The 26,515-nt window shown below is 44.8% G+C and overlaps 1 protein-coding gene across 7 annotated transcripts in view, besides 2 other annotated features; it reads right to left on the bottom strand.

Moving 5' to 3' along the window:
- Positions 1-26,515, bottom strand: part of IGF1R (insulin like growth factor 1 receptor) — a 315,992-nt gene that overhangs the window by 142,833 nt on the left and 146,644 nt on the right. The gene's annotated exons all lie outside the window — the stretch shown is intronic.
- Positions 21,558-22,253: an enhancer, noted in NCBI's record as "H3K27ac hESC enhancer chr15:99342674-99343369 (GRCh37/hg19 assembly coordinates)". NCBI's record gives its function as "activates a minimal SCP1, AML or CMV promoter by ChIP-STARR-seq in primed H9 embryonic stem cells {active_cell/tissue: H9 hESC(primed)}" and the evidence as "EXISTENCE:reporter gene assay evidence [ECO:0000049][PMID:30033119]".
- Positions 23,955-24,746: an enhancer, noted in NCBI's record as "H3K4me1 hESC enhancer chr15:99340181-99340972 (GRCh37/hg19 assembly coordinates)". NCBI's record gives its function as "activates a minimal SCP1, AML or CMV promoter by ChIP-STARR-seq in primed H9 embryonic stem cells {active_cell/tissue: H9 hESC(primed)}" and the evidence as "EXISTENCE:reporter gene assay evidence [ECO:0000049][PMID:30033119]".

The raw sequence follows: 26,515 nt of genomic DNA, 5'->3' as shown, positions 1-26,515 counted from the left end.
AAAGCTGTCCCATTCTCATCACTAATCAAGGTAAGAGAGTTACATCTTATTTCTCTGCCTTGGTTTCATCATCTATGGAAGAGCAGTCATACTGGATCTCGAAACATGCATTTTAGTGCATCATGCACATTTAACGCCTCCCTCACGCATCACTCAACTGACTGGCAAGCCACCCCTTCCCCTTCGACTCTCTTCCAAAAATGCTTACGAACTTGAAATCCAGCAGAAAAGGGGCCACAGTGACTACGTACTCATGATTCTGTTTTACTCTTCTAAATTCACGGTCTACTTACTATTAACTTATATACACGTTAATATTTAAGTTCCAGATCCAAGGGAGGTAAGAAGCAGCTAATTCTAGGGAGGCAGGGCTAGAGAGAGTGATGGTAAAATCAGTTTAAAAAGGGGGGGGGGAGGCGTGTTTAAAATAAAAGACAACTATAAAAAATCAACAGAGGAAGGGAAAAACCAGAAGCGCACAGGCCATTTAGCGCAATGTAGCGCGTCTCACACCAGAAGTTGTTTACACACTCTTGGACGCCTGAGTTCTCCTTGATTTTTGTTTTTCTTCATTTTATCTATCTTCGTTTATCCATCTTCTAGTTCATCTACTTAACCTTCTTGTAACTCAGTGCTGCCAAGTGGATTCGGCATCAGCATTTACATAAAAAACACATTGCAAGCAAACTGCATTACTCTAGCTGTTGTACACCAAAAAGAAAAGACACATTTAACATATAAATATGTGTTCACATACCAAGTGAAGACCAATTTATGTTGTGGTACTTCCGTGAACTGGGGCCTTGCGATACTTAAAGAAAAAATTCAATTGTGATGTCAAAGAGAGGTGTTCCGTAATTCAAACGTACTCAGGCCTTCGAGGTCAGTTTATTCACATTCTGAGCAGTGGTTTACTTTTAGCAAAATATTACCCATGTCATTAAATTAATATTTGGGTTTGAATCTTTTTGTTTTATATGCACTTAATGTGTAAAATCATTTAACTTACAGTTGTAAAAGATCTGCAAGCGTAAAAAATTGACACCTAGGCCTTATAAGGCTGTAGGTATTTAAGTATCTTTATACCAAGTAATTTATAATGACACTGAGGGTCTGTGAATTTATCTTTTGCTTTTAAAAGGTGTCTCAATTACCTTAGATGAAAAACTGCCTTGCCCACCTGGGAGCATCATTATCTTATCATAGAATGAAGTTACTTTCACAGTGATGACCCTGAGTATTGAGAAAAAGTTGGATTATGTTCATTATATTCTTTTTAATGCAAGCAATGTAAAACGTCCTTTAGAAATGTTTCCTTTAAAAATTATTTAAATTGTATTGCTTAAAAAATATGACTCTTTCAACTCAGTTATCACTTAAGGTTTCCTGGAATATTCTGCTGTTTAGAACATATTTGTAGGATATGAAATTACCTACGTATGTGACTCTTATAAGACCAGAGAAAAAGGCTAGAATTATATATATATATATATATGAAAATAGCATCAGCAATTCCACAAGGCCATCAACTTGGGGTATGAACTATCCGTGAAGGACTAGTGATGGCTGAACTTCAACCACACTCTGAACAGCATAAAAATGAGAAAACTGTACTCCTTGATCTTTAGTTCTCAAAGTGTGGTTTGTGAACGCGTAAGGATTCTGCAGCTTTTTCAGGGGGTCTATGAGATTAAACTATTTTCATACACTACTAAGACACTGTTTACCTTTTTAACTCTTATTGTCTCATGAATGTGTGCCGTGGAAGTTTCCAGAAGCTGTGTGATATTGGCAGCAGAATAAACATAGAAGCAGGTATGATCATCCAATTGCCTTCTGTTAAGCCAGAGATTAAACACATAAAACAATGCCACTCTATTCATATACTGGGGTGGGATATAGTTTTTATCCAACATAAAAGTACGTTAACGCATATTAAGTTTTGTTACTGTTTCTGAATCAATAAATCTTTTTAAAGTTATTAATTTTAATTCTTCATACAGCAAGTATCAATGGATACAACCCACATAAACGAAAGCTTATTGGCGTTTGTCCTAGCCTGTCTGGGCACCTATAACAAAACACCTTAAACTAGGTAGCTTTTAAACAACAGAAACTTATTCCTTACAGTTCTAGAGTCTGGGAAGTCCAAGATCAAGGCACTGGCAGATTCAGTGTCTTGTGAGGGCTCCACTTTCTGGTTCACGGAGGGCACCTTCTAGCAGAAGAGGCAAAGCAGCTCTCTTTTATAAAGGCACAATCTCATTCATAAAGGTCCCCCACCCTCACGATTTAATCCCTTCCTAAAGGCCCCAGCTCCTAATATCATCACATGGTGATTAGGTTTCAATGCATAGATTACTGGGGCAACATAAACATGTAGACAGTGGCAGGGTTTTCCATTTTTAACAGTGTGAAGGGGTCCAGAGACCACTGAATTTGAAAACCCCTGGATGATTTCATTTTTCTCGACAGGGAAGCTACAAGTAGATGAGTGCCAAATGTTTCTCTCCATTCCTGGCCTGTCCCCTGAGCCCTACACTGCTGTGTTCAACTCCATCTTAGCTTGCCCCCCCTGGATGTCTGAGGCATTTCTGACCTGAGAGATGCAAGACAGAGCTCCTGCCCCATCTGCCTTCTCCACCACACACTTCCCAAACTACACTGCTCCTCCCTCCCCACTCCTTTGCAGCTCAGGAATGGAAGCCTCCACCCCCTGTTCTGTCCAAGCCAAAATGTCTCAGAGGTATCTTTCACTCTCCCAGTCTCCATTCCCTTCAGGCTATATTTTACAAGTCTTCAAATATTCCTAAATCTATCCACTACAAATTGCTATGACTCTGGTCCAGTGGTTCTCAACAGGGTACAATTTTGGTCTCCCCACCCCCTAATCCCAGGTTAACATCTGTCAATGTCTAGATACATTTTTGATTGTCATGACTAGGGGGCGGGGTGGGTGGGCTTCTGGCATCTAGCAGGTAGAGACTAGTGAAGCTGCTGAACATTTTGCAATACACAGGACAGCCCCCCACAACTAATTATCTCACCCAAAATGCCAACAGTGCCAATGCTGAGAAACCTGGCACTGGTTCAGGACTGCACCCCTACCCCCCGCCCTGCCACTCCCCAACTAATTATTTCACCCAAAATGTCAATACTGCCAATGCTGAGAAACCCAGCACTGGTTCAAGCCACCAACATCTCTCATATGCACGGTCCCAGCAGCTTCCTAAGCGGTCTCCCTGCTTTTTCCACTATTCCTCCTTCTCCCCTTCTCCACCCAGCAGCTAGACTGACTGTTGTAGAAATCAGTGTGCCACTCTTGTGCTTCTCACTCATCCCCAACTTCCACTGTGTATTGAGTAAATTCTCACTCTTGCCATGGCCTACAGACCCTCTCTGCTCTGGTCCCATCTAATACTGTGACCCATCTTATAACTCGACGCTATGAAATCAATTGTGTCTCATCCCCGGCCACCTCCCACCTCCACCCTGCCAATTCATATGTAGGAACCCTAACCCCTCATGTGACTCTGTTGAAGGTAGGGCTGTTAAGGAGACAATTAAGATCAAATGAGGTCATAAGGGTGAGACCCTGATACAATTGGATTAATGTCCTTAATCAGTGAAGAGACACCACAGCTTGCTCTCTCCCACCACTATATGAGGATACAGTGAGAAGGTAGCTGTTTGCAAACCAGGAAGAGAGCCCTCACTAGAACCAGACCTTGTTGACACCTGACCTTGGACTTTCAGCATCCAGAACCATGAGAATATGCTTCTCCAACCATGACGCTGGAGAGAAGAGGTGAAGTAGGCAGAGGCAAGACTGGGAAAGTAGGGCTGGGGTGGTCAGAAAGGGCAAATCACGAAATGTCTGGTGTGAAAGGAGAAAGGGATCTCCCCAGAGCTTGAGTATGGAAGACTATTCAACTTCAGAAATGAACACAGAGAGGGAGAGGGAATGCTGCAATGTCTATTGTTTAAGCCACCCAGGCTACAGTAATTTGTCAAAGCAGCCTGAGCTGACAATCACTCTCAGTTTCCCTCATCTTCCAAGTTCCAGCCTTGCTGGTCATCAGTCTGTGCCCATGTGACAGCTTTTTCTTCTTATCCTTTCTCCTGAACTTCCCATGGCTGGACCTTCCAATCTCCCTTAGTCTAAATGCCACCTTTTCACAGAGGCCTCAATGACTACCCAGCGTAATACAGCACCCCTCAACCACACCTGGCCCCCAACCCAGCACTCCTGCATTGTGATGACAGTACTGTTTTGTGTTTTCTTCTTAGATGCTCATCACTAGCTTATTATTCTCTTTACTGTGCATCCTACCATCCCCACCCCAGTATTCTTACTATTATTATTATTATTATTATTATTATTATTATTATTTTTGAGACAGATTCTCGCTCTGCTGCCCAGTCTGGAGTGCAGTGGCATGATCTCCACTCACTGCAACCTCTGCCTCCCGGGTTCAAGCCATTCTCCTGCTTCAGACTCCCGAGTAGCTGGGATTACAAGCATGGGCCACCACACCCAGCTAATTTTGTATTTTTAGTAGAGACGGGGTTTCACCATGTTGGCCAGGCTGTTCTTGAACTCCTGACCTCAGGTGATCCGCCTGTCTTGGCCTCCCAAAGTGCTGGGATTACAGGTGTGAGCCACCACACGCAGCATTGAAGAAATCTTTTCTGTCTTGATCACTGCTGGAGCAGACAGAGCACCACAGCTGCCTAATGTTTGTTAAATTAATAAATAAGTGAATGAACCTGGCTTTGAGGATCTCAGATCCATACAACCGGGCATTTATAGCCATTCTCTGAGTCAGGCAGCTTTCTGGAGCCACATGGTTATGAGAATGTGCCTTGCCCCAAGATTCATCTCCCTCTCCCACCTCCCCAAAGAAAGCTGCCATGTTTGTGGCAATCTCATATTCCTCTGGGGACCACATGGGACAGGAAGGAGTAATTAACTGCAATATCCACAGCGAGTAGCTATTCATATTCTTACACTCCAGGGAGCATCAAGTCTTAAGGTTACATTAAAACACAGGCACAAGGGAAGTCCCCAGTGTTTATTATCTGCAGCTACAGAGTGGGTAAGGATGAGATCTGGTCACTTCAATTGAATTTACAGGCAACTTCTCAAGAGCCCAACTTTGAACTGCCCAAAGAAAACACAGGCAAGTCCTACTGGCACAAGAGAATGGGGTGGGCCGATGGGGAGTGATGGCCGGCTAGGGTTGACATTTGTTTTTTCCACCATATTCAACACAGGCAAGTGCTTTCGAATTACTGGCTCCCTGAAAAGGGGGATCTGGACACATATGGCAATGCGATGAATGATGATTCCTGGAAAGAAAAATGTTTAATGAAACAAGAAACTCACAATTTCCTGAGACCTGATATGCACAAGGTACTGGGCAGATCTTGTAGTTATTGATGGGAATTTCAGAGAAAGGCCTGATGAGGCAAAGCTGGCTGCTGGAACCTCAAAGAGACAGGAAAACAAGGATGAGACCCATGATTAGGGCCACTGTGAAGACTCCAGAAGCTTCTGAGGTTCGAGAGAAGAGGTGAAGTAGGCAGAGGCAAGACTGGGAAAGTAGGGTGGCTGGGGTGGCCTGAAAGGGCAGATCACAAAATGGCTGGTGTCAAAGGAGAAAGGGACCTCCCCACAGCTTGAGTATGGAAGACTGTTGAGCTTCAGAAATGAACACAGGGAAGGAGAAGGAATGCTGCAAATATTTTACCATATTGACTTTTAATTAGTTGAGAATCAATGTAACAGGTCTAGACCTCATCCAGGGTGGAGGCAGCATGTGGGCAATGGTACCAAGAAAGCATCAGAAAGAAGAAGGGCTTGGAAGGCAACTACAGAACAGGCTGCCCCACATCAAACTTAGGTAGAATAAGACTCACTTCCATTGTTCCTTCTCTAGCCAAAGCTAGAGAAGCTCTGAATTTCTCTGCATTTCGAAAACACTCCAACACACAGAGTCACACAAAACTCTCCTTTGGACCAGATGGACCCTATCCTACGCACTGAGAGATTTGGAGTGAATGGGACAAGAGGTAAGCCCAGTCTCTTTCCTCCCTCCCTCATCACCCCCCACACCTAACCTCTTCCAAAAACATCAAATATTTTCTTCCATAAATAATTGCAATAGGATGCCATAGCTTTTCCCAAACAAACAATAGCCTGATTGTGCCCTGTTTGCATGGGCCCAGCCCGGCATACACAAAGGCCTGCTTTCATGCGCCAGGCCTCTCCCCACTGTAGAAGGATGGGCATATTTCGCCCTCCTCACTTCTTCAACAACTTCACTGAGGCAATTCCATTCGGAAAGGAGCAACAGGAAGAGGTTGTTACCACCAGGAATAGGAGCAACTCCCATTAAAAAGACAGCCATTGTTCCCCAGGTTTTCTGTTGCCTTTCGACCTCATCCAGAAAGTTCTTTCACCAGAAGAGAGCTGGTTTGCCCCAAGAGCCAAATGACAACATCTTATGCTGGTGATTTCTTTTAAACTTTTTATTAAATTTCGAATATGATTTTAAATTGTAATCACTGACTGAAAATATTCCTGTTTTTATGTCATGTATCTTCTTAACAGTATCAGAATAGAGCTAAAACAAACGCATAAATTTTTGTACTACTAATTATTTTTCTGGTAAGAAAAAAAGCTGAACTAAAAGATTAAACTAACAACTTTATAACTGCTACTCTGAAAAAATATCCTTTTGTGTTTAAAAACATGAAGTATTAAGTTTCCTTTCAGAATGTAAGTTTGATTTTCCCCCACAGATATAAGGAAGCATCATAGCAAGTCTTCTTCCTGTTTCCAGTAATTCGGAATGGCCATTCTCCCAGGTAGAGCCACGCTTATATCAGATACAATTTCTTCTCCCCATTTTTGGTCTTCCATTCATTTCTCTTTCACTCTTCTAATTTAAGTGAAATGGAATTCCAAATGGCCAAGACACTAATAAGCTCTCTGAAAGCCATCTTGAGAGCATATACATTTTTGTTTTTAAAACCATATAAACAGGCTGGGCACAGTGGCTCACACGTGTAATCCCAGCACTTTGGAAGGCCAAGGTGGGAGGATCACTTGAGGCCAGAAGTCTGAGACTAACCCCGGCAACACGGTGAGACCCCCATCTCTACAAAAAATTTAAAAATTAGCTGGGCATAGTGGCACATACCTGTAGTAGTCCCAGCTACTCAGGAGGTTGAGGATCGCTTAAGCCCAGGAGTTTGAGGTTGCAGTGAGCTATGATGGTGCCACTGCACTCCAGCCTGGGCAACAGAGCAAGACCCTGTGGCTATATCCATCCATCCATCCATCCATCCAAATCATATAAGGGCACCGAAAGCAGTGCTACACAGGGCATTAAAAAAAGCTTTCACTGCCTGGTAAGTGTTGCTCCAAAGTGATGTATCATTCATGCCAGAAAGAGTAACTTAAATTAAAATGTATTTTAAAGTTGAATCTTGGTTTTGCAACAGGATCTAGTGACGCAAGCAACCCACGATGATGTGCTCCATTTGCTATGTATGGTTAATAACCCAGTGCTCAATGAGCAGACACTGGGTTATTAACCATGTCACATACCTCAATTATCCCACAATTTACAAAACATTCAAGAGAAGCTTTTGCATTTGCTTGTGCTTCAGCATTGAAAGTAAAAAACATGAACTGAGGTAGGCCAGAACCTATTCCGGACCTCATCTCTACTGGATTAAGCTATTGTTGTTGACAGTCATTGTTATTTTCTCCAATTATTAATACAATTACAATGGTGGAAAATATGTAGATGTATTAATGGAAGGGGTTCGTGTGTCTTCAGCCCACTTCATCCAAGAAGGCAACTCTTGATAGTCAGGCTCCTCTCCACCTTTCTCAAGTCTTAGCATTCGGACATAAGGAATGGACTGGGGCCGCTCTGCATCCAGTAAATTGCCTTCATCCTCACCTATTCTGGGTACTGTATGTGACAATCTCAAAGTATTTTAAGATGTAGGGTTTACTGCTATTCAGGTACGGTGAGGCCAACAGTTAAAAGACAATTGCCACTGAAAAAGTCTGTTACTCACAGTCCCCAAGAAGAGGTAGTGCACCATGCCAAGGGGCCACACGGAGAAGAACCAAGGTTGGTCCTGAGGCAGAGGGAATGGTAGGAAAACATGGAGGAGAGCCTTTATTGTGGTTTCCTTGGGAAGGAATAAATCACACAAGGTAAGCAGGTTTAGGACTAGCTGGCTGGAGTAATTCTGACAGGCTCTGGGGTGTAGGGGCTGTCTCTTGCCTGGTATCTGGCCCTAGGGTGATTAAGGTAGGGCAATATTGGCCTGGAGTATGAAATCCCAATAAAGGTGGTAAGGGGCCTGGCCTTTGGATTGGTTATTTTGCATATGAGTGAGGGGCGTGGCCTTTGGATTGGTTATTTTGCATATGAGCATTGTACTCATTCACTACCTAGGAACTGGCTAACCCTAGGGGGGCTGGTCTCTTCAGGGTCAGCAAGGCCCCAAGATGTCAAAGCATCAGAAGTATGGAAAATAAAAAGGCTTGATTAATACAGAAAGGTAACATAAGTCAGTTAGATCAAAACTGCCAAGGCCCCAGGAAGTAAGCCTCGCCCCAGCCAAGGGGGATGACGAGAAGCTTCCAATTCACCAGCACTATCGGAGAAGCCACTTAAACCACTGTTTTTCGATAGAAGACTGGAACAGCCTAAGAGACAGGAAGCAGGTTTGTGGACTTAATGATAACGATGGTCTCTGGTCAACAACAGTACATTTCACAGCACGTGTGAAGGCAGCTCCTCTGGAGTCAAGCCAACTTGGAGTTATCTAATGACAAGCCCAAGGACAATGCCCCAAGCAGGGACCCTGACAGTATATTAATACGTAAGAAATTCCAAGATAAAAGTTGGGGGCAAGGGCAAATTAGTTAGATAAAATACAACATAAAAAGGTCACGTTTGGAAGGATGGCCATAATATTATACGACGAAGTTTTCAAAAGCTTTTTTGGCCGGGCACGGTGGTTCACGCCTGTAATCCCAGCACTTTGGGAGGCTGAGGTGGGAGGATCACCTGAGGTCAGCAGTTTGAGACCAGCCTGGCCAATATGGCAAAACCCCATCTCTACTAAAAATTAAAAAAATTAGCCGGGCATGGTGGCAGGCGTCTGTAATCCCAGCTACTGGGGAGGCTGAGACAGGACAAATGCTTGAAACCAGGAGGCGGAGATTGCAGTGAACTGAGATCGCACCATTGTACTCTAGCCTGGGCGACAGAGTAAGACTCTGCCTTGAAAAAAAAAAAAAAGCTTTTTCAAGAACAACAACAATGTAAAAATAATACAATGGTGACACAGCTCACAGCTGGAAGGGCACAAGAAAGAGTTCAAGGAACTTTCCTACCTCCAGTCATTGACTCAGCTGTCCAAGAGAGCTTCAGGACGATAACACAATCTTCAGCCGCATCCCAAGAGCCATGGCTCCCAGAGTTAGGGTGCTAAACGGTCCTGGTATGATTTCTACTGGTCATGTCTCTCAAGGAGGGCTTTTTAAATCTCAACGATGTGGTTTCGAAGGCTATTAAACTATACTTTATCAAATGGAGACTTAAAACTCTGAAACAAAGAACAAGTAAAAGAACTAGAAATATTTTATCTGGGGAAGGAAATATTCAGAGGGCACAGAAAAGATGTCCTCAAGTATTCAAAAGGGTAATTACCTTGAGATAGTTGACTTATTTTTTTTGAGACAGAGTCTGGCTCTGTCACCCAGGCTGGACTGCAGTGGCGCGATCTCTCACTGCAAGCTCCGCCTCCCGGGCTCATGCCATTCTCCTGCCTCAGCCTCCGGAGTAGCTGGGACTACAGGCGCCCGCCAACACGCCCAGAGAATTTTCTGTATTTTTAGTGGACACGGGGTTTCACCGTGTTAGCCAGGATGGTCTGGATCTCCTGACCTCGTGATCCGCCCGCCTCGGCCTCCCAAAGTGCTGGGATTACAGGCGTCAGCCACCACGCCCAGCTGATAGTTGACTTATTTCTTATGGTTCACAGAATACAAATAGACCCAACACATACAAGTTATAAGGAAGGAGAGTTTTCTTTGTTTACATAGAGAAATAACTTTTTTTTTTTTTTTGAGATGGAGTTTCGCTCTGTCACCCAGGCTGGAGTGCAGTGGCGTGATCTCGGCTCACTGCAAGCTCTGCCTCCTGGGTTCAAGCCATTCTCCTGCCTCAGCCTCCCGAGCAGCTGGGACTACAGGCGCCCGCAACCACGCCTGGCTAATTTTTTTTTTTTTTTTGTATTTTTAGTGGAGACGGGGTTTCACCGTGTTAGCCAGGATGGTCTCGATCTCCTGACCTTGTGATCTGCCCGTCTCAGCCTCCCAAAGTGCAAGGATTACATGCATGAGCCATGGCTCACCGCAACCTCCAACTCCTGGGTTCAAGTGATTCTCCTGCCTCAGCCTCTCGAGTAGCTGGTATTATAGGCATGTGCCACCACATCTGGTTAATTTTTGTATTTTTAGTAGAGATGGGGTTTCTCCATGTTGGTCAGGCTGGTTTCGAACTCCTGACCTCAGGTGATCCGGCCGCCTCAGCCTCTCAAAGTGCTGGGATTACAGGCGTGAGCCACCGCGTCCAGCCAGAGAAAGAATTTTCTAACATTCTAGGTTGTCTACAGACAATATGAAAGCAAATGAGTATGACTGTGACTCAATGAAACTTTATGTGCAACAACAGGTGTGGCAGGCCAGATGTGGCAGCATGGGCTGTAGTTTGCCAACTCCTGAATTACACTTAAGAAAATCATTTAGAGGCTGGGCGTGGTGGCTCACGCCTGTAATCCCAGCCCTTTGGGAGGCCGAGGCGGGCGGATCACGAGGTCAGGAGATCAAGACCATCCTGGCTAACACGGTGAAACCCCGTCTCTACTAAAAATACGAAAAATAAGCCGGGCGTGGTGGCGGGCGCCTGTAGTCCCAGCTACTTGGGAGGTTGAGGCAGAAGAATGGCGTGAAGCCGGGAGGCGGAGCCTGCAGTGAGCAGAGATCGCGCCACCGCACTCCAGCCTGGGCTACAGAGACTCCGTCTCAAAAAAAAAAAAAAAAGAAAAGAAAAGAAAATCATTTAGAATCTGATTTTACAAGAGAGTTACTTGCCTGTTAAGTATGGTACAAAGAGAAAGACATATACACACATCAACATTCAGTAAGTATTGCTTTCCTCAAGATTAATTTATCCAAAGAGACCAAAATAAAACATTTTAAAATTATTTTTACCTTAAATAGCAGGGTTTTAATTTGGGGGTGGAGTGTGGAATTTAATCTAAAATATGTGAATGCTAGCTTCACTAGACACAGTAACTGGACAAACAGGCTGAAGCACAGAGTGGATGTAATACAGATACCAAGCAAACCACCAGCACAGCTACGGACCCCTTAGGAAAGCAGAGAGCAGTACACCAGTCAAGTTTCTCAGAGATTCAAGAGGAAAACCACCCACCACCCCCTCCGCCAGCCACCCCCACACCATGCCTTTCTACAAAGCTGGACACCCTGGGCCCCACCTCCCAAAGCTGGGTGTGTAGCAGCCTTCACTGTAACCACCAAAGTGGTTCAGCATTGCTCCCATGACCCACCTTCACTTAGTTCATCCCAGCTTCCCTAAAGCGGGAGTCTGTCTGGGTCAGTTTGCTGTCTCTACTGAGCTCATGCCAAACCCCGTGGCTATCCCATATACACCTCTCCTTTCCCCACCTAGACCCCAGGGTGCGGGGAGTGGGCTTTCATTCTATCATCAGAACACAATACGTGGAACGTGACTTTAGCAACTAGGATGGAGAGTGGGAAACCCTCCGGAACCACGTTCCTCCAAAGCAGCTGTGTCCCCTGCAGGCACTCACTGAGGGCTGAAAAGACACTCCTGGATCTCACAGCACAGTCCTTGTGCAGCACTTTACGTTGGAAAACAGAACCAACAAACATTTTCTTGAAGTATTCCTCAAAACCCAAACCAGTCTTCTCTGGGGCTGAACCCAGAAACTCTTCAAGACTATTTACACAGGATTTATAATCTGGTGTCTACTCAGCGGTTTTATAAAAACATGGAGGGAAAAATGCCAACGCGCTGCCAGTTCACTGCGGTGGTTCACGTTTCTTGCCCGGTAGACCAGGCAATGTTCCCAATGCCCAGAGCCCTGGCACCAGGCAAGCCTCTCACGCCAGCGGAACTTGGGAGGCTGCAGAACTCACACTGACTCCATGGCGTCTCTCCCAGACTCACCTTCGCAGAAGGAAGCCCTTGCAGGCTCTCAAGACCCAGAACTAATAGAATCCAATCGTGGTTGCCTTGGGAAAAGTGAATCCAAGCTTCTAACAGGAGGTCCTCAAGCCACCCAGTACCCTGAAGTACTGCTAGCCAGACAGCAAATCTCTGTGCCACCCATAGGCTACCTCCATCCTCAGTACATGCAGGAAAGAGTCAGGGTCACGGCAGGGTGCCCCCGGAGTGTCAAAGGGCCTCAGACAGAGTCCTGGAATATATAGACCTCGTCAGGGTTTTCTTTTCTACACTAGAACTATATTGCAGCTACCTGGCACCTTGAGGGCCTGAAACATTCAGGATAGGTAAATGTCTTGAGCAGCTTCTTATTTTAACTGTTGATAAGAATCTTTTACAGAGGGCACAGTGGCTCATGCCTGTAATCCCAGCACTTTGGGAGGCTGAGGCAGGAGGATCACTTGAGATAGGAGTTCAAGATCAGCCTGGGCAATAGAGTAAGACTCTGACTCTATAAAAATAAAATACAAATAAAAATTAGCCAGACATGGTGGTGCACACCTGTAGTCCTAGCTACTCGGGAGGCTGAGACAGGACGATTTCTTGAGCCCAGGACTTTGAGCTTGCAGTGGGCTATGACCGCACCACTGCACTCCAGTGTAGGCAATAAGGCAAGACCCTGTCTCTTCAAAAAGAAAAAAAAAAAAATCTTTCAAGAACATACCTGCCCTAGAGTCCCTGCGAGGACCTAGGTTCCACACGACTATAGGCACCTCAAGGGTGAGGGCCTTGTCATATTCATCACTATGGCTCCAGCACCGAAAATCCTAACAGTCTACAGTGTGTTCTCAATGAATGTATATATTAAACTTACTTGCTTTTAAGCCCCTATATGCCACTGGTGACACAGGTACACACAGTAATCTCAAGGGGCTGATGATCATTCTTATATCACAGTTCAATGCAAAATCACTACATAGCCAATATTAAAAAACAAAGTGAAACAATTATTCACAATTTATCCCAAAGCTGGAAACATTTTTGAAGAGGATAAAGATACTGACAAATAATACGGAACTCTTTCAACTTTAGGTTTCAAAATTAATAAAGAGCTATTTCACTGTAGTTATTTACTTCGGTGGCTAACATCTCCCAGTATCTTATTATTTTCAACTTATTTTTAAGATGAATATATCTTATACCACCAAATGCTTTACCTTTGGTTATTCTGAGCTCCTCAAGGAGAATACCCTAACATCATTCTTCCCCATGCCAGGCTATCCCACGTACCTTTCCCAAACAATTCCCAAACAACATGGATGTGGTATCTGTGTGTCCTCACAACTTCATTACTGCACAGAAATAGTACCTCACCACCAAAAAATCATGTTCATTGGAACTGTTCTCAGAAAAAACTCCAATCATAAGGCAATGTTTTATAATGAGAGTTTATGGATCAGATATTCTGACTAAATTCACCAAAATGATTTCAGAAGGAAAATTACTATTATCTTACAGCTGCTATTGTTTCCTCTAAACTTATACTATGTCAGACAGAAAATCCGACTGCTTGAAAGAAGGACCCATAAACGGCAAGGAGACAGGGTATACACTAATGACAACAAAGCTATGACAAAAGTGAAGTGGCTTCCACATACACAGTGTTTCACTATGGCCCAGGCCCTGCTGTAAACTCCTCACAGGGATTAGCTCATTTAAACCTCACAGCACAACAATCCCTCACTATTAATGCCATCTTACAGAGAGTGAAACAGAGGCATGAGTCTCAAAAATGGCAGCACAAGGATAAAATCCCATCTGGCTGCTGAGTGGATGTTTTGGTCCTTATCCTATCTCAGAGAATGCATTCAAACCTAAAACTATGCCAGGAGTCTAAATTTAACTCAAACAAGCTGAAGAAAACCAAAACGTCTCAGATATCACAAAGCAGTGCATTTATTGCATAATGTTGCACAACAAGGAAAGTTTCTAGAAAGCTGCCCGAACTTACATGGTTACTACCAACATCCAAGCAAAAGAAAGTCCCAAAGGACAAAGAACGTGTCCCACATGTACACGATCTGGTTCATCTATTCATATATCCAGGATGCAGCCTGTGCTCAGCGCCCTACTTACAGGAATCTGAGCTTTACGATTAGTATGATTTTAGCTGCTAAAAATGTGACACCTACCTCTAAGTCATTTGGATTTATAAAAATCCCACCATGCTACAATCAAGAAAGCATTTCACTGAGCAACTGTAAGCCAGGTACAGGGCGTGAGCTGAAGAATGTCCCAGGTGAGTGAGGCCGTTCTAATTTCAACACCTAAAGAACAGGTCACATCAGACGTTATAAATTCTCCAATTTTCTTTTCTTTTTTTTCTTTTGAGACGGGGTTTCACCATGTTGCCCAGGTTGGTCTTGAACTCCTGACCTCAAGTGATCTATCCACCTCGGCCTCCCAACGTGCTGGGATTACAGGTGTGAGCCACCGCGCCTGACCAATTCTCCAATTTTCATGACATTAATGATCACGTTAGGCTTAGGGTCAGCTGTGCCCTAAAGCTCTCACATCAATGTTTTATGGATGTATGGGCCTAACACTGGTATACAGATACCCTTGGCTATATCCCTCTTACTAATGCCAGAGAACGGGTGTTTCTTGCCACAGTGCCACTCCTGGCTGTCCAGCACATGTTCACAAGGACTAGGAAAAAGGGATCTCTCCCTGGCAGTCAGCTTCTCTTTTCACAGTGTTGAAAACTCTGTGAGATAATTTCCTTAGGCGTCCTGGTAACACCTATTAGAAAGTGTTTATTTAATATTTATTCCCACAAATACCAATGAGAGAGAGAGTCTCCTACTATTCAACAGTTTTTTGTTTTTTTTTTTTAATCAAGAAATAGTTGAAAAGGATGGGAGTGAAGGCACTTTAAGCCCACAGATGCCAGCAGAGGTGGGACATGACAAGGGAGGCTGGGGGGCTGGCCCCAAACTTGTCCCTCCCAAGTCAGCTTGGACACCACACAGCACTTCGTGCGCCCTCGGCTGGCTTAGCACATGGACAAGGCATTGCCGCTGGAGTCCCACCTTCTTAGAGACTCCTGAAAAGGAGCTCCACGCCACCCCCCACACCTCGCCCTGTGCCACTCTTCCACTTGTCCTGTCCACTCTGGACATAGAGCCTTCACGGTAAACCAGTAATAGGACGTCAACTACTTTCTGGAATTTTGTGAGCCCAGGTGAGTGAGGCCGTTCTAATTTCAACATCTACAGAAGTTATCAAGTTTCAGGTTTAATAACCTAGCAAGTTATCAGACCTGAAAGCAAGGGGCCTGGCAACAAACTCTCAACCTTTCAGGCAAGTCAGACAGAAGTGTGGGCACCCCATACCTGCTACTCGCATCTGCAGCAAGGGCAGACTCGTGGGACTGAACCCTCATCCCTGTGGAGTCTGTGCTAACTCCAGGTGGTGAGTGTCAGAACTGCACTGAATTGTAAGGCCCCCAGTTGGTGTCTGGAGAGTTAGACAACTGGTTGTTGGTATGGCAAAACCCCACACATTTGGCGTCAGAAATGTTATGAGTAGCAACAGTTCAGAGTCCTTTATGTGCGTTTACAAAAGCAATAATTTATGGCAAGGACTTATCAGAACTACTTTACGATTTTATTTTAGTTTCTTTTAAGGACCAAGATTAAAGATTTAATTAGTTAAACAAGACAACCAAAACAAATACTTCCTCCTGACCTTGAGTTATCACAGACTGCCACCCAAGGGGCAACTGAAACAGAAAGGGTGGCCTGCATTTCAGAAGGGCTGGAGGGGACAACGGGCAGTGTGCTCTCAGGTGCTCTGAATCACACACACACACACACACCATACACACACAGGCACCCTTTTGGAACAGACAATTATGAAAGCACATTAAAACGCAGCATGCCATTTGGAAGTCTGGTCTTGCTGCTCTGCCCAAACACAGGGTACACACTTCAGGGAAAACAATCCTAGAGAAACAGTAGCTCTGTGAAAAATGAGAAATGTAAAATGTTTCGGCCAAACACAAAGAAAAAAAAAATCAGCGTGTGGGATGGGGAGGAGAATAAGACCTATCAGAATTCTTTTTGCTTAGCTGGCCAACTCTGGCAGCATAAAGTTTAAATGGAAGTATCTTCAAATTAAATCGCACCTGCATGTATATAAGACTCCCCTGTAATGCTCCGATAACACCTCAAGATTGAGGTCATCTAAATTCAAACCTTAAATATAAAACCACTCCCAAAAGAGAATGCCTTTGAATATAATGGCAGTTTCAAACTTTGGCAAATAATTATCCTGTACTTCTTATCTGTGAGAATCTATCATTTATTTTAAAAATTCTCTGCAGCGGCCGGGAGTGGCGGCTCATGCCTGTAATCCCAGCACTTTGGGAGGCCAAGGCAGGAGGATCACCTGAGGTCAGGAGTTCAAGACCAGCCTGGCCAACATGGTGAAACCCTGTCTCTACTAAAAATTCAAAAAATTAGCCAGGCGTGGTGGTGCACGCCTGCAGTTCCAGCTACTCGGGAGGCTGAGGCAGAATTGCTTGAACTGGGGATGTGGAGGTTGCAGTGAGCCGAGATTGCACAATTGCACTCCAGCGAAACTCCATCTTAAAAAACAATAATTATCTGCAGCTCCCTGTATCTTCCAGTAAACGGATTAGCAGGTATTTTCTGAGTGTCCATGATGACGGTCTTAGCACTCTCCTTCCTGCCTAAGGAGTCACAATCGCATTCACAATCAAATGCAGGTGCTGTGTGTGCGCTGCTCTCTTCCTCCCATAGCCCCGTTTCACTTTCTCTGGAGTGCATCCCCATCCTCTCAAAGCAGAATCAACAAGCAAACCACTGTCCTTCTTTCAAAAAACAAAAACAAAAACAAAAACAAAAGTCATGTGTTTATTTCTTCCCCTCTACTTGTGCCTCCTAAATTCCTTGCCTTAGTCCCAAATCAGTCCTCCAAACGCGGGTTACTTGTAACGTTATTCAGAAGTGGAAGATTACCTTGCAAAATGGCAGATAATGCCCCAACTAGATATTTCATGGCATTCTAAAACTACATAAAAGCAAGATTTCTTAACATTCCTCTAAATAAATAATAGTGTAATAAATATATGAAACAGGCTATGCATTTCCTCAGTGTTCTTCCATTCCCTCCAGTGACCACACATGTGTACTGCATGGTGAGCCCATGACTGAGGAATAGAAATACAGTCATGAGGCAGCTAACAGCGTTTCAAAGATGAAGTGCATATACGATAGTGGTCCTGTAAGGATAGAATATAGCTAGAAAATTCCTATTGCCTAGTGACATTGCAACCGTGGTAAGATGTACATGTTCCTCATATGTTTGTGGGGATGCTGGTGCAAACAAACCCGTGCTGCCAGCTGTATAAAAGTACAGCACGTACAACAGTGCACAGTACATAATATGTGATAATGATAATAAGTGACTATGTTATTGGTTTATGTATTTACTATACTTTTTATAGTTATTTAAGAGTGTACACCTTCTACTTATTAAAAAAGTTAACTGTGGCCAGGCGCCGTGGCTCATGCCTGTAATCCCAGTGCTTTGGGAGGCCGAGGCGGGTGGATCACTTAAGGTCAGGAGTTTGAGATCAGCCTGGGCAACATGGTGAAACCTCATCCCTACTACAAACACAAAAATTAGTCAGCCATGGTGGTGTGTGCGTCTAGTCCCGGCTACTCAGGAGGCTGAGGTAAGAGGATCGCTTGAGCCTTGGCGGTCGAGGCTGCAGTGAGCTGTGATTGCACCACTGCACTCCAGCCTGGGGGACAGAGCAAGACCCTATCTCATAAATAAATAAATAAATAAATAAAATGTAATATTCACTAAGTGTAGCCTAAGTGTACAGTATTTATCCAGGCCTTCACAATTACTCACCACTGACTCACTGACTCACCCAGAGCAACTTCTGGTCCTGCAAGCCTGACTCCTAGTAAGTGCCCTATACAGGTGTACCATTTTTTTATCTTTTACACTATATTTTTTACTGCACCTTATCTATGCTTAGATTCAGAAATACTTACCACTGTGTTACCATTGCCTACAGCGTTCAGAACAGCAACATGCTCCACGGGTTTGCAGCCTACGAGCAACAGGCTATACCATGGACCCTAGGTGTGTAGTAGGCTGTATCAACTAAGTTTGTGAAAGTACGCTGTATGATGCTGGCATAATGATAAAATCCAATTACCTAACAATGCATTTCTCAGAACATATCCCTGTCATTAAGCAACATATGACTGTCTATTACTGAGATCTGTACATTTTTAATTACCTTCATGTTACTGAATCCAGCTTTAAAAAAACAGCAGGAAACCATTTTTTCACTGTGTTTCAAGTCAGCTACAATTTAAATATCATTAGTTCGGTGTCAACCTAAAATGGAAACAATTACCAGTAGAACATTACATATTACGTTTACTTTTCATTTTTGGTAGCACAATTCCTATCTAGGAAAACATAATAAGTTTCCTGTAGGAAAAGTAAGATAAAGGAATTAAGAATTCTTAGGGGTCTCACTCACTTAAGACCGCTAATATATGAGAAAAAATATCTTGTGCTTTGAGAAGTAAGCTTCAATTACCTGGGAAATCAACTCAAGCAAAAAACTCTTTCAATGATGCTAGACAAATAAAATGCACAGGTAGATGTTTGCACGTCCACAGAAATTGCAGCCACAATCAGATGCATTCTTCAGATGTGAATTCGTGCATACAAGCAACCCCTGTCTTTCGCAGAGTTAAGTTCAAATCCTGTACACACTTTGTTCCACAAAATTGCTGTTGGCTTGCATCTCTTTTGTCACCTTTCTCCATCCTTAAGTCCTCCAAGGTTCTCTCAGGGCCAAGACTGTAGGGTTCAATGACCTTCCCTGGTCAGCTGTAAAACTAGGGCTAGCACCTTCAGAATCCGCCAGCCACACCCTGCTCCAGCTCACCACCATGAGTTTTCTCTCATCAGCCTCCAAAGTCCAAGCCATCGCTACATCTCAGAGATGACGTACAACATGTGCCTTTATTTTATACTCTCAAGATGCTGGATATAGTAGTTATTATCCAGAAAGAATGACTTCACAATCAGGATCCGAGACTGGCTATAAACAGTGATCGAATCCTCAACTCATTCCCTCTCGCACCTACAGGAAGGTATTAACAACTGATCCTCCCTTTCATTTTTAGAGTAACAAACCCAGCTTGTACTACCCATGCCTACAACAGCCCAGATGTGGCACTCAAGGTTGAAAAGGGGCCACAACTTGGTAACGGGACACACATGACCCCATGCAGGAGAACAGCCAGGGCCATGAGGAAAGGGACTTTGGTGCACAATGGCAGGTACCTATGCCCTTGCTGGGACATGGGGCATCAGGGTCATTACCAGATGGGTTTACAAAACACCAAAACACGGACAGCAAAAGTAAGATGCTCAGTCCATTGGCTTGCAGTGTTTCAGAGTCCCTGCTTGCTGCTAGCCACGGGGATGGGGGCTGGGAGTCATCCTGTTTAAAAGCTGCAGTGAAAACCCAGTGTGGTCGTCTCTGTTCTCAATGTCTACCTTGGAAGAGGGAGTTCTTAACCTCTGTGGCAGAGCAACCTGAAAACAGAATTATACTCCATACACATAGCTACAATGCCTCATGCAGAATGCTCTTCCCAAAACCGTGCTCAAGGATACAAACCCAGGCTGTCCAATTTGGGGAAATCATTGTTTGAGGGTGGCACAGACAAGCAGTCGGCTTGGGGTTTGCTCCCTGTGCACAGCTCGATCATCAAGGAAAGGCCTCTTCCGGGCCTCAAAGCTCCCTTTGTGAGGAATGAGGCCCACTGTCGAGGCTCACACAGGCAGCTGTAACCAGGCTGCCCCTCTCTCTGGGTGTTTGTTTTGATAGAGGTTCATTTATGCCAGAGACAATGCCCGCTCTCTTTGTTCTGCCCCCAGCAGGAAGCAGTGCAGGGAGGGGGACCAGCATTGTCACACAGCTTCCAATTCAGGTTTTGGTGGCCACAACAATGGGGCCTCAAGGGCCACAAATAAAGAGCCGCTCACGGGGAGCAGGGCAGAGAGACTGGCACATGTGGACCCCAGCACACCCCAGGTAGAAGTCACCTCCTAACAAGTGCTCAGGCTCACTATCAAGGGCTTTGAGGGCTCTGAGGTTGGGGAGAGGGAGGCCACCTCCTCTTCTCTTAAGTGGTGCTGGGAGGGAGAAGTAAGCAAGGTCCCCGGGGATGACAAAGCCTTCCTACCTCTCCTACCATTTATCCCAACTAAAGGAGCAAACACTCAAAAAAGCAAGCAAAAAGAATGCACACACATGCTTCGTGTTCTAACTTACCAACAGTTGCACAAGGAAGAAAAAAAGTCTAATCTGAATTGCCAAAAATGAACAATATCCTTTAAAATGAAGCCTGGGCTAGATGGCTGCAAGTGAATGAAATGTATTACCCAACTGCTGCTGTAACACAAGCCCTCTCCTCCCCCTTCTGGGCCTCATTCATAAAAAGCCTGCTTCGCCCCAGCAGCTGCAGGAACTGGGACTGGATTTGTGTTTTGTGCCGGTGTTTTCCAAGACAGAGGGAAACAATTGAAACAGACAATCGCTCAGATACCAACACCAAGTTCGCCTCCCCTTGAGAAGTTTGCTGCAGTCTCCTGGTCTAATCCAAATAGGTGGAGGGAGGGCTGGGAGGGCATCCTGCAGAGCTGTTCAGTGGCGGTTCTAACGCTAACACCCAGCGTGTTATTAAAGGAATTCCCATCTGCTGAGTCACACTCCGTATCTTTCACTCCCTGACATTTTATTTTTTTTTAATCAAAGGTTGTTCTTTGTTGGTAAAACGGGGGTTGCCAAGTTAATTAAAGATTGCCAAATTGGGGTAGAGATAGCAACACAACTCCCAAAGAGGTAATTTTTTCATTGTCCACTTTTAAATGGATATTACCATCTACAGACTTTATGCAGCCTGCTAGAAATCTTATGAGATAAGGAACAACTTCAATTCTTAATATATTTTTCTAATTTATGAATAAACCAACAACCAACATGCTTCATCCAGGCAGGATGAAGCACTGTCTCCCTCGCCCACACCCTTTTCCACAGCTGCCCTCCCAGCCCAGCATCTTTTATCACCTAGAAGGGCCAAGGAGGCTGGTTTGTGCAACTCAACAAGCTCTGTAAAACACCAAGTCCCTAGAAATCTCAGAAATCACCATGAGAAACGAGAGGCTACCAAACTTTTTAGACTCAGCAGCCTTCTTCAAAGCAGGGCCCAAATACAAGAGCATGTTCTAATTTACCAGGAATGGTTTTAATACAAGAATTACATAAGAACAGAGTGCAGGAAAGGAAGGGAGAAATAAAACCATTCTTGTTGCCCTAATACCAGAGCAGTCTTCCGGTGAATTGATACATAAATTCTCTCCAGAGACAAGATAATCCAAGCTATTAACTGTTCCCCTCTCAACTCTTGCAAAACACAAGGCTTCGAAACCTTGAAGGGGGGCAGGTGGAGGGGAAAGCCTGCTATATATTTCTAGAAAATACCAAATTTAACACCACGATCCCAGCCTGCTCATCACTGCTGGGGATCAGCCATTCTGGGAAGGTAACAGCAGCCCTCAGCACTCCCCTCCGCTAAGTAAACACTCCTTTCTACCACACTCGGTCCCCCATGCCGGCCGCCTCCCACCTCTGCCTGTGGACTGACAGCCGAGGAAACAAGAAAACAAGCTGGAGATACCAAATGAATCTTGCGAAATACATGGTCTGTGATTAAATCACAATAACTCTAACCTCCTCAAAGGCAAACATATCAAGATAGCAAGCTGAGAGCAAAATAAGCAAGTCTTAACAGAAATTATGCCAAGCTTTATAAAGGGATTACCCACACCTCCTAGAGGCTGTGCAGCCTGGAATCCAGGGTGGTTTGGGTTTTTTTTTTTTTAAACTTACTGCAGCCCTTCTAGCTATCCAATGAAAGCTCTTACAAAGAAACCTTCAGGTCTGCAGTTCTCTGTGGGTTTTCTATGAATATGAACGTACTTTACGGGTGGAGAAAACATATCCATGATCATGTTTGAGGGGCTCACGAAAGGGGGAGGCACATGAATTATACCATGAATACAGATATAATGAATACAGATTTAGTGAGATTTTAATACCTCAATATTCTCTGGTCCCACTCTTAAACATCGCCCTTCAACCATCAAAACATCTTAAATCCTGGGGTAGGGGCATAGTTACCCAAAGTTGTGGTACCTTCCCTAAAGAAAACTGAAATACATACCAGGACACACATAATTCTGTCAAGTTTGTCCCTAACTGTGTGATCTTGGACAAGTTAGCTAACCTCTCTGTGCCTCAGTTTCTTCATTTATAACATGGCTCTAATAGCAGAACGAACCCTTGAGAGGCTGTTGCAACAGCTGGTACACAGTAAGTGCTCAATAAATATTCGTTGCTGTTATTAACATTGTCCCTATGCCATCTCACCCCCCATATAAGCTCTCTGCTAACTTTCCAACACAGAGAACAAAATCCAAATTCTTCACCATGGCTCCAGGGCCCATGTGATCTAATAGCCCTCTCTGCCTGTCACTCACCAGGCTCCAGCCACCCAACCTCATCTCATCCTCCTCACTGGACATCCCACGTGCATCCTGTGTGCACCAGACAGTCTTGCTGGTGCTTCCAGACTCTGACTACTTCTCTCCACTGACCATCTCCACCATCCTGGTCTAAGGTTCATCTTCTCTGCCCTACACTGGGGCAACAGCCTACTCCTACTGGTCTCTCTACTTCTGTCCTTGCCCTTACAGTCTCTCTTAACGCAGCTGCCAGCATGGTCCTGTTAACGTACACACCAGCTCCAAACTCTGCCATCTCCTTTCAGAGTCAAAGCCGAAGTCCTCACCGTGGCCTCCAGGGCCCTACATAACTGACTCAGTTTACCCCATCCCCCACCAAGATGCACCAAGCTCTCCAAGCTCCTCGCCTTTCCCTTCCCTTTCCTTTAGGTCTTCGTCCAAATGTCACCTCTCTAGAGACCTTCTCTGAATACCCTACGTAAAAAGGTACCCGGATACCTGCCTGGCACCACGTACCCTGTACCCCACACCTAACATGTGACCCAGCCCTCCCATCCCCTTCCCTACTTTAATAAAAGCTCCACAGAGGCAGAGGCCTCATTTTGTCCACTTCTATAACCCTGACACCAGGAACAGTGCCTGGCACACAGCAGGTGCTCAATAATATTTGTGGAGCGAATAATCGATGCCATCATGGAGATCTTTCCCTCGCTGGGGCCTACCACCTCATGTTCCTCTCCACGTCTTCTCATGGCTGATTCACAGTGGCAGGGCAAATGTCCCCTCTTCAGAAAGGCCTTCTATGAGAATCCAACTTAAAAGTCTCCATCACAATCAGTGAGTCTGTATTTTTTTCATAGCACTTACCACTGTCTGACATTATTTTCTGTCTACTTGTTTGTTGTCTGTTTCTACCACTAGAATGTTTCCATTTGTTTTCCATTTGGAGAATGGAGTTGGCTTTGTCTCTGTAACCCCAAGTAGCTACGTCAGCACAACAGAATGCTCAGTCCGTATTTGTTGAATAAATGGCAATGTATATACTGACATTCTTTAAAAACTAAAAGCACACATCCAGAAGAGGAACCGGGAGGGCTCTGTCTTACCCCAGATGACACATACCCTGCAGGTGCATGTGCATGGAATGCCTTGGGCACCTGAAAACACCACCCCGCTCCCCCAACCCCAAATGAAGAGCTCTCCATCTGACCTGGGAGAAGCACTCAGAACCTAGACATGGCTCCGACGCAAAGAAAAACAATTTGAAGTTACTAAATAACAGCCCAACATCTGTCACCACATATGAACAACTCTATGCACAGGTAACGGTCCACTCGCCATGCTCACTGTCCAAACACCCGGGCATCAGGTTTACCTTCCCCCTGAGTGGGCTTTCGAGCAGTCATCACAGCTGCCTGGGAGACACAGCTCTAAAACGGGGCTCGGGCTGCAGCCCAGGGGCCAACACTGAGCTCCCAAAGCTTTGGATGCATTTCCTACTCAGCATGGACATCAGGTGACTTCCTTAAGAGGAAAAATCACCCCGCAAGACTGCTGAGAAAGCAGGTGTGGCATTTATCAGTGCTGCTGTCATCCATAGAGAAGCCAGGAACAACGAAATGTAACTCTGTGTACACAGAACTCTGCCACCCCACACAGGGCAGATGGGGCAGCCATCAGAAATGCGGGGCATGGACCCAAACGCCAGCATAGCACCACACCCCCAAATGAGGGGGGAACAGGCTCAGCACCCCAAGACATCCAAGCACCATGGCTTTTACAGCTAGATGCACTCTCCACAAGCCAACAGGAGTCGCGAGTGAGAGCCTTCGAACACATCCAGTGTGAACATGCATTCAGCAAACATTTCCTGAGCCCTGCTTTGTGCCAGGCTGTTCTCAGTGCTCAGGATACACAAGGAAGAAATAAATAAAAGATAAGGTTTCTGTCCTTGTAAAGCTTATATTCGTGTCCGTGTGTGCATGCCTGTGTGTATGTATAAGAATACATTCAATAGACACAATTATTAAGTAAATTAAGTCATATGTTAGAAAATAAGTGCTGTGGCAAAATCCAGATTAAAATCACCAATCACTAGTCAGGAGACCCCATCAGCTACGCAAAGACCATACAGGTAGTGTGCAGAGACACCAGAGAGGTCACCCTGTTTGATCGACAAAAGTATGCTCATTAGAAGGTAAACCACAGGACTATGGGGTCTTTATCTCTTTTCTCCCTGCAGGATTCTCAGCTCAAGAAGAGCACCTGGCACAGGTCAGGGACTCAGAAGCATTTGTTGAAGAAATGGAAGTGCTCACCCACTGAGTTCTTGCTTCTGCAGCATTCCTGGCAGGTAACCCTCTCGAGTTGGCTGAAATCTTTCCAAGAATGAAAAGCTGGGCTTTTACAACAAACTAACAAGCAAACCCCAACCAACCACCCCCACACACCCCCAGGCGCCTTTACTGTATTACTTTCTGGACCCTCTGAGACACACACAGTCTACTACTAACGCCAGCACATGCTGTGATGGGATTCCCCCAGCACAGTGCCCACACGATGCTGGGCCCACACAGCCTGTGACACCTGCTGGCCACTTCGCTCCCACGGAGAAGCCTCTTTCACGTTCATATGTGCTGGGGATCTGTGTCTGCTGAGAGCTGAGCTGCCTGCCTGGGATCAGCCAGATGGAGCAGGCAGAGACGGCACGGACCACACTCCAGAGGAACACGCCATGGATGGCTGTATTGTTGATGTTTCAGATATCCAAAAAGTAAATTATAAATCTTAGCGGTGATTTAGCTATCCTATTTGCCAAAGGTAGTTTACACGGGTGTTTCAAATTACTTGGTAAGAAGGCACAGGTGACACGAAGGGACCACCCACAAATATCTGGCATGTTCCAGTCGCATGCATGGCATGTCGCATGTGGTGCGACAGTTCTCAGGAAACAGCATTTGTAAAAACATGCTTATTAAAAAATTAGAGAGATTTTCTATAAGAAACACATAATAGGCGCAGTGGCTCATGACTGTAATCCCAGCACGTTGGGAGGCCGAGACAGGTGGATCACGAGGTCAGGAGATCAAGACCATCCTGGCTAACACAGTGAAACCCTGTCTCTACTAAAAATACAAAAAAAATTAACCAGGGGTGGTTGCGGGTGCCTGCAGTCCCAGCTGCTCGGGAGGCTGAGGCAGGAGAATGGCATGAACCCAGGAGGCGGAGCTTGCAGTGAGCCGAGATCATGCCACTGCACTCCAGCCTGGGCAACAGAGTGAGACTCCATCTCAAAACAAAACAAAACAAAACAAAACAAAAAACAAGAAAGAAACACATAATAATGCTAATCTAATCATTTGTGTATTTTTAAGTTTTTAACTTACTGATACATGTCAATGTGTTAAGACCAAAAAAATACATGAATTTAATTTAAGTCTAGACGGCAAAGTCAAATTAATGTAGTATACAATTTTCTTAATAAACTTTTCCTTTCCTACCCTCTTTCGCCCCATTTTGAACTTTAAAGAAAAATTTGCCTT

This window comes from Homo sapiens, chromosome 15 (genome assembly GCF_000001405.40).
Source record: "Homo sapiens chromosome 15, GRCh38.p14 Primary Assembly".
NCBI classification, from domain to species: domain Eukaryota; kingdom Metazoa; phylum Chordata; class Mammalia; order Primates; family Hominidae; genus Homo; species Homo sapiens.
This window is presented reverse-complemented; position numbering and strand designations above follow the sequence as displayed.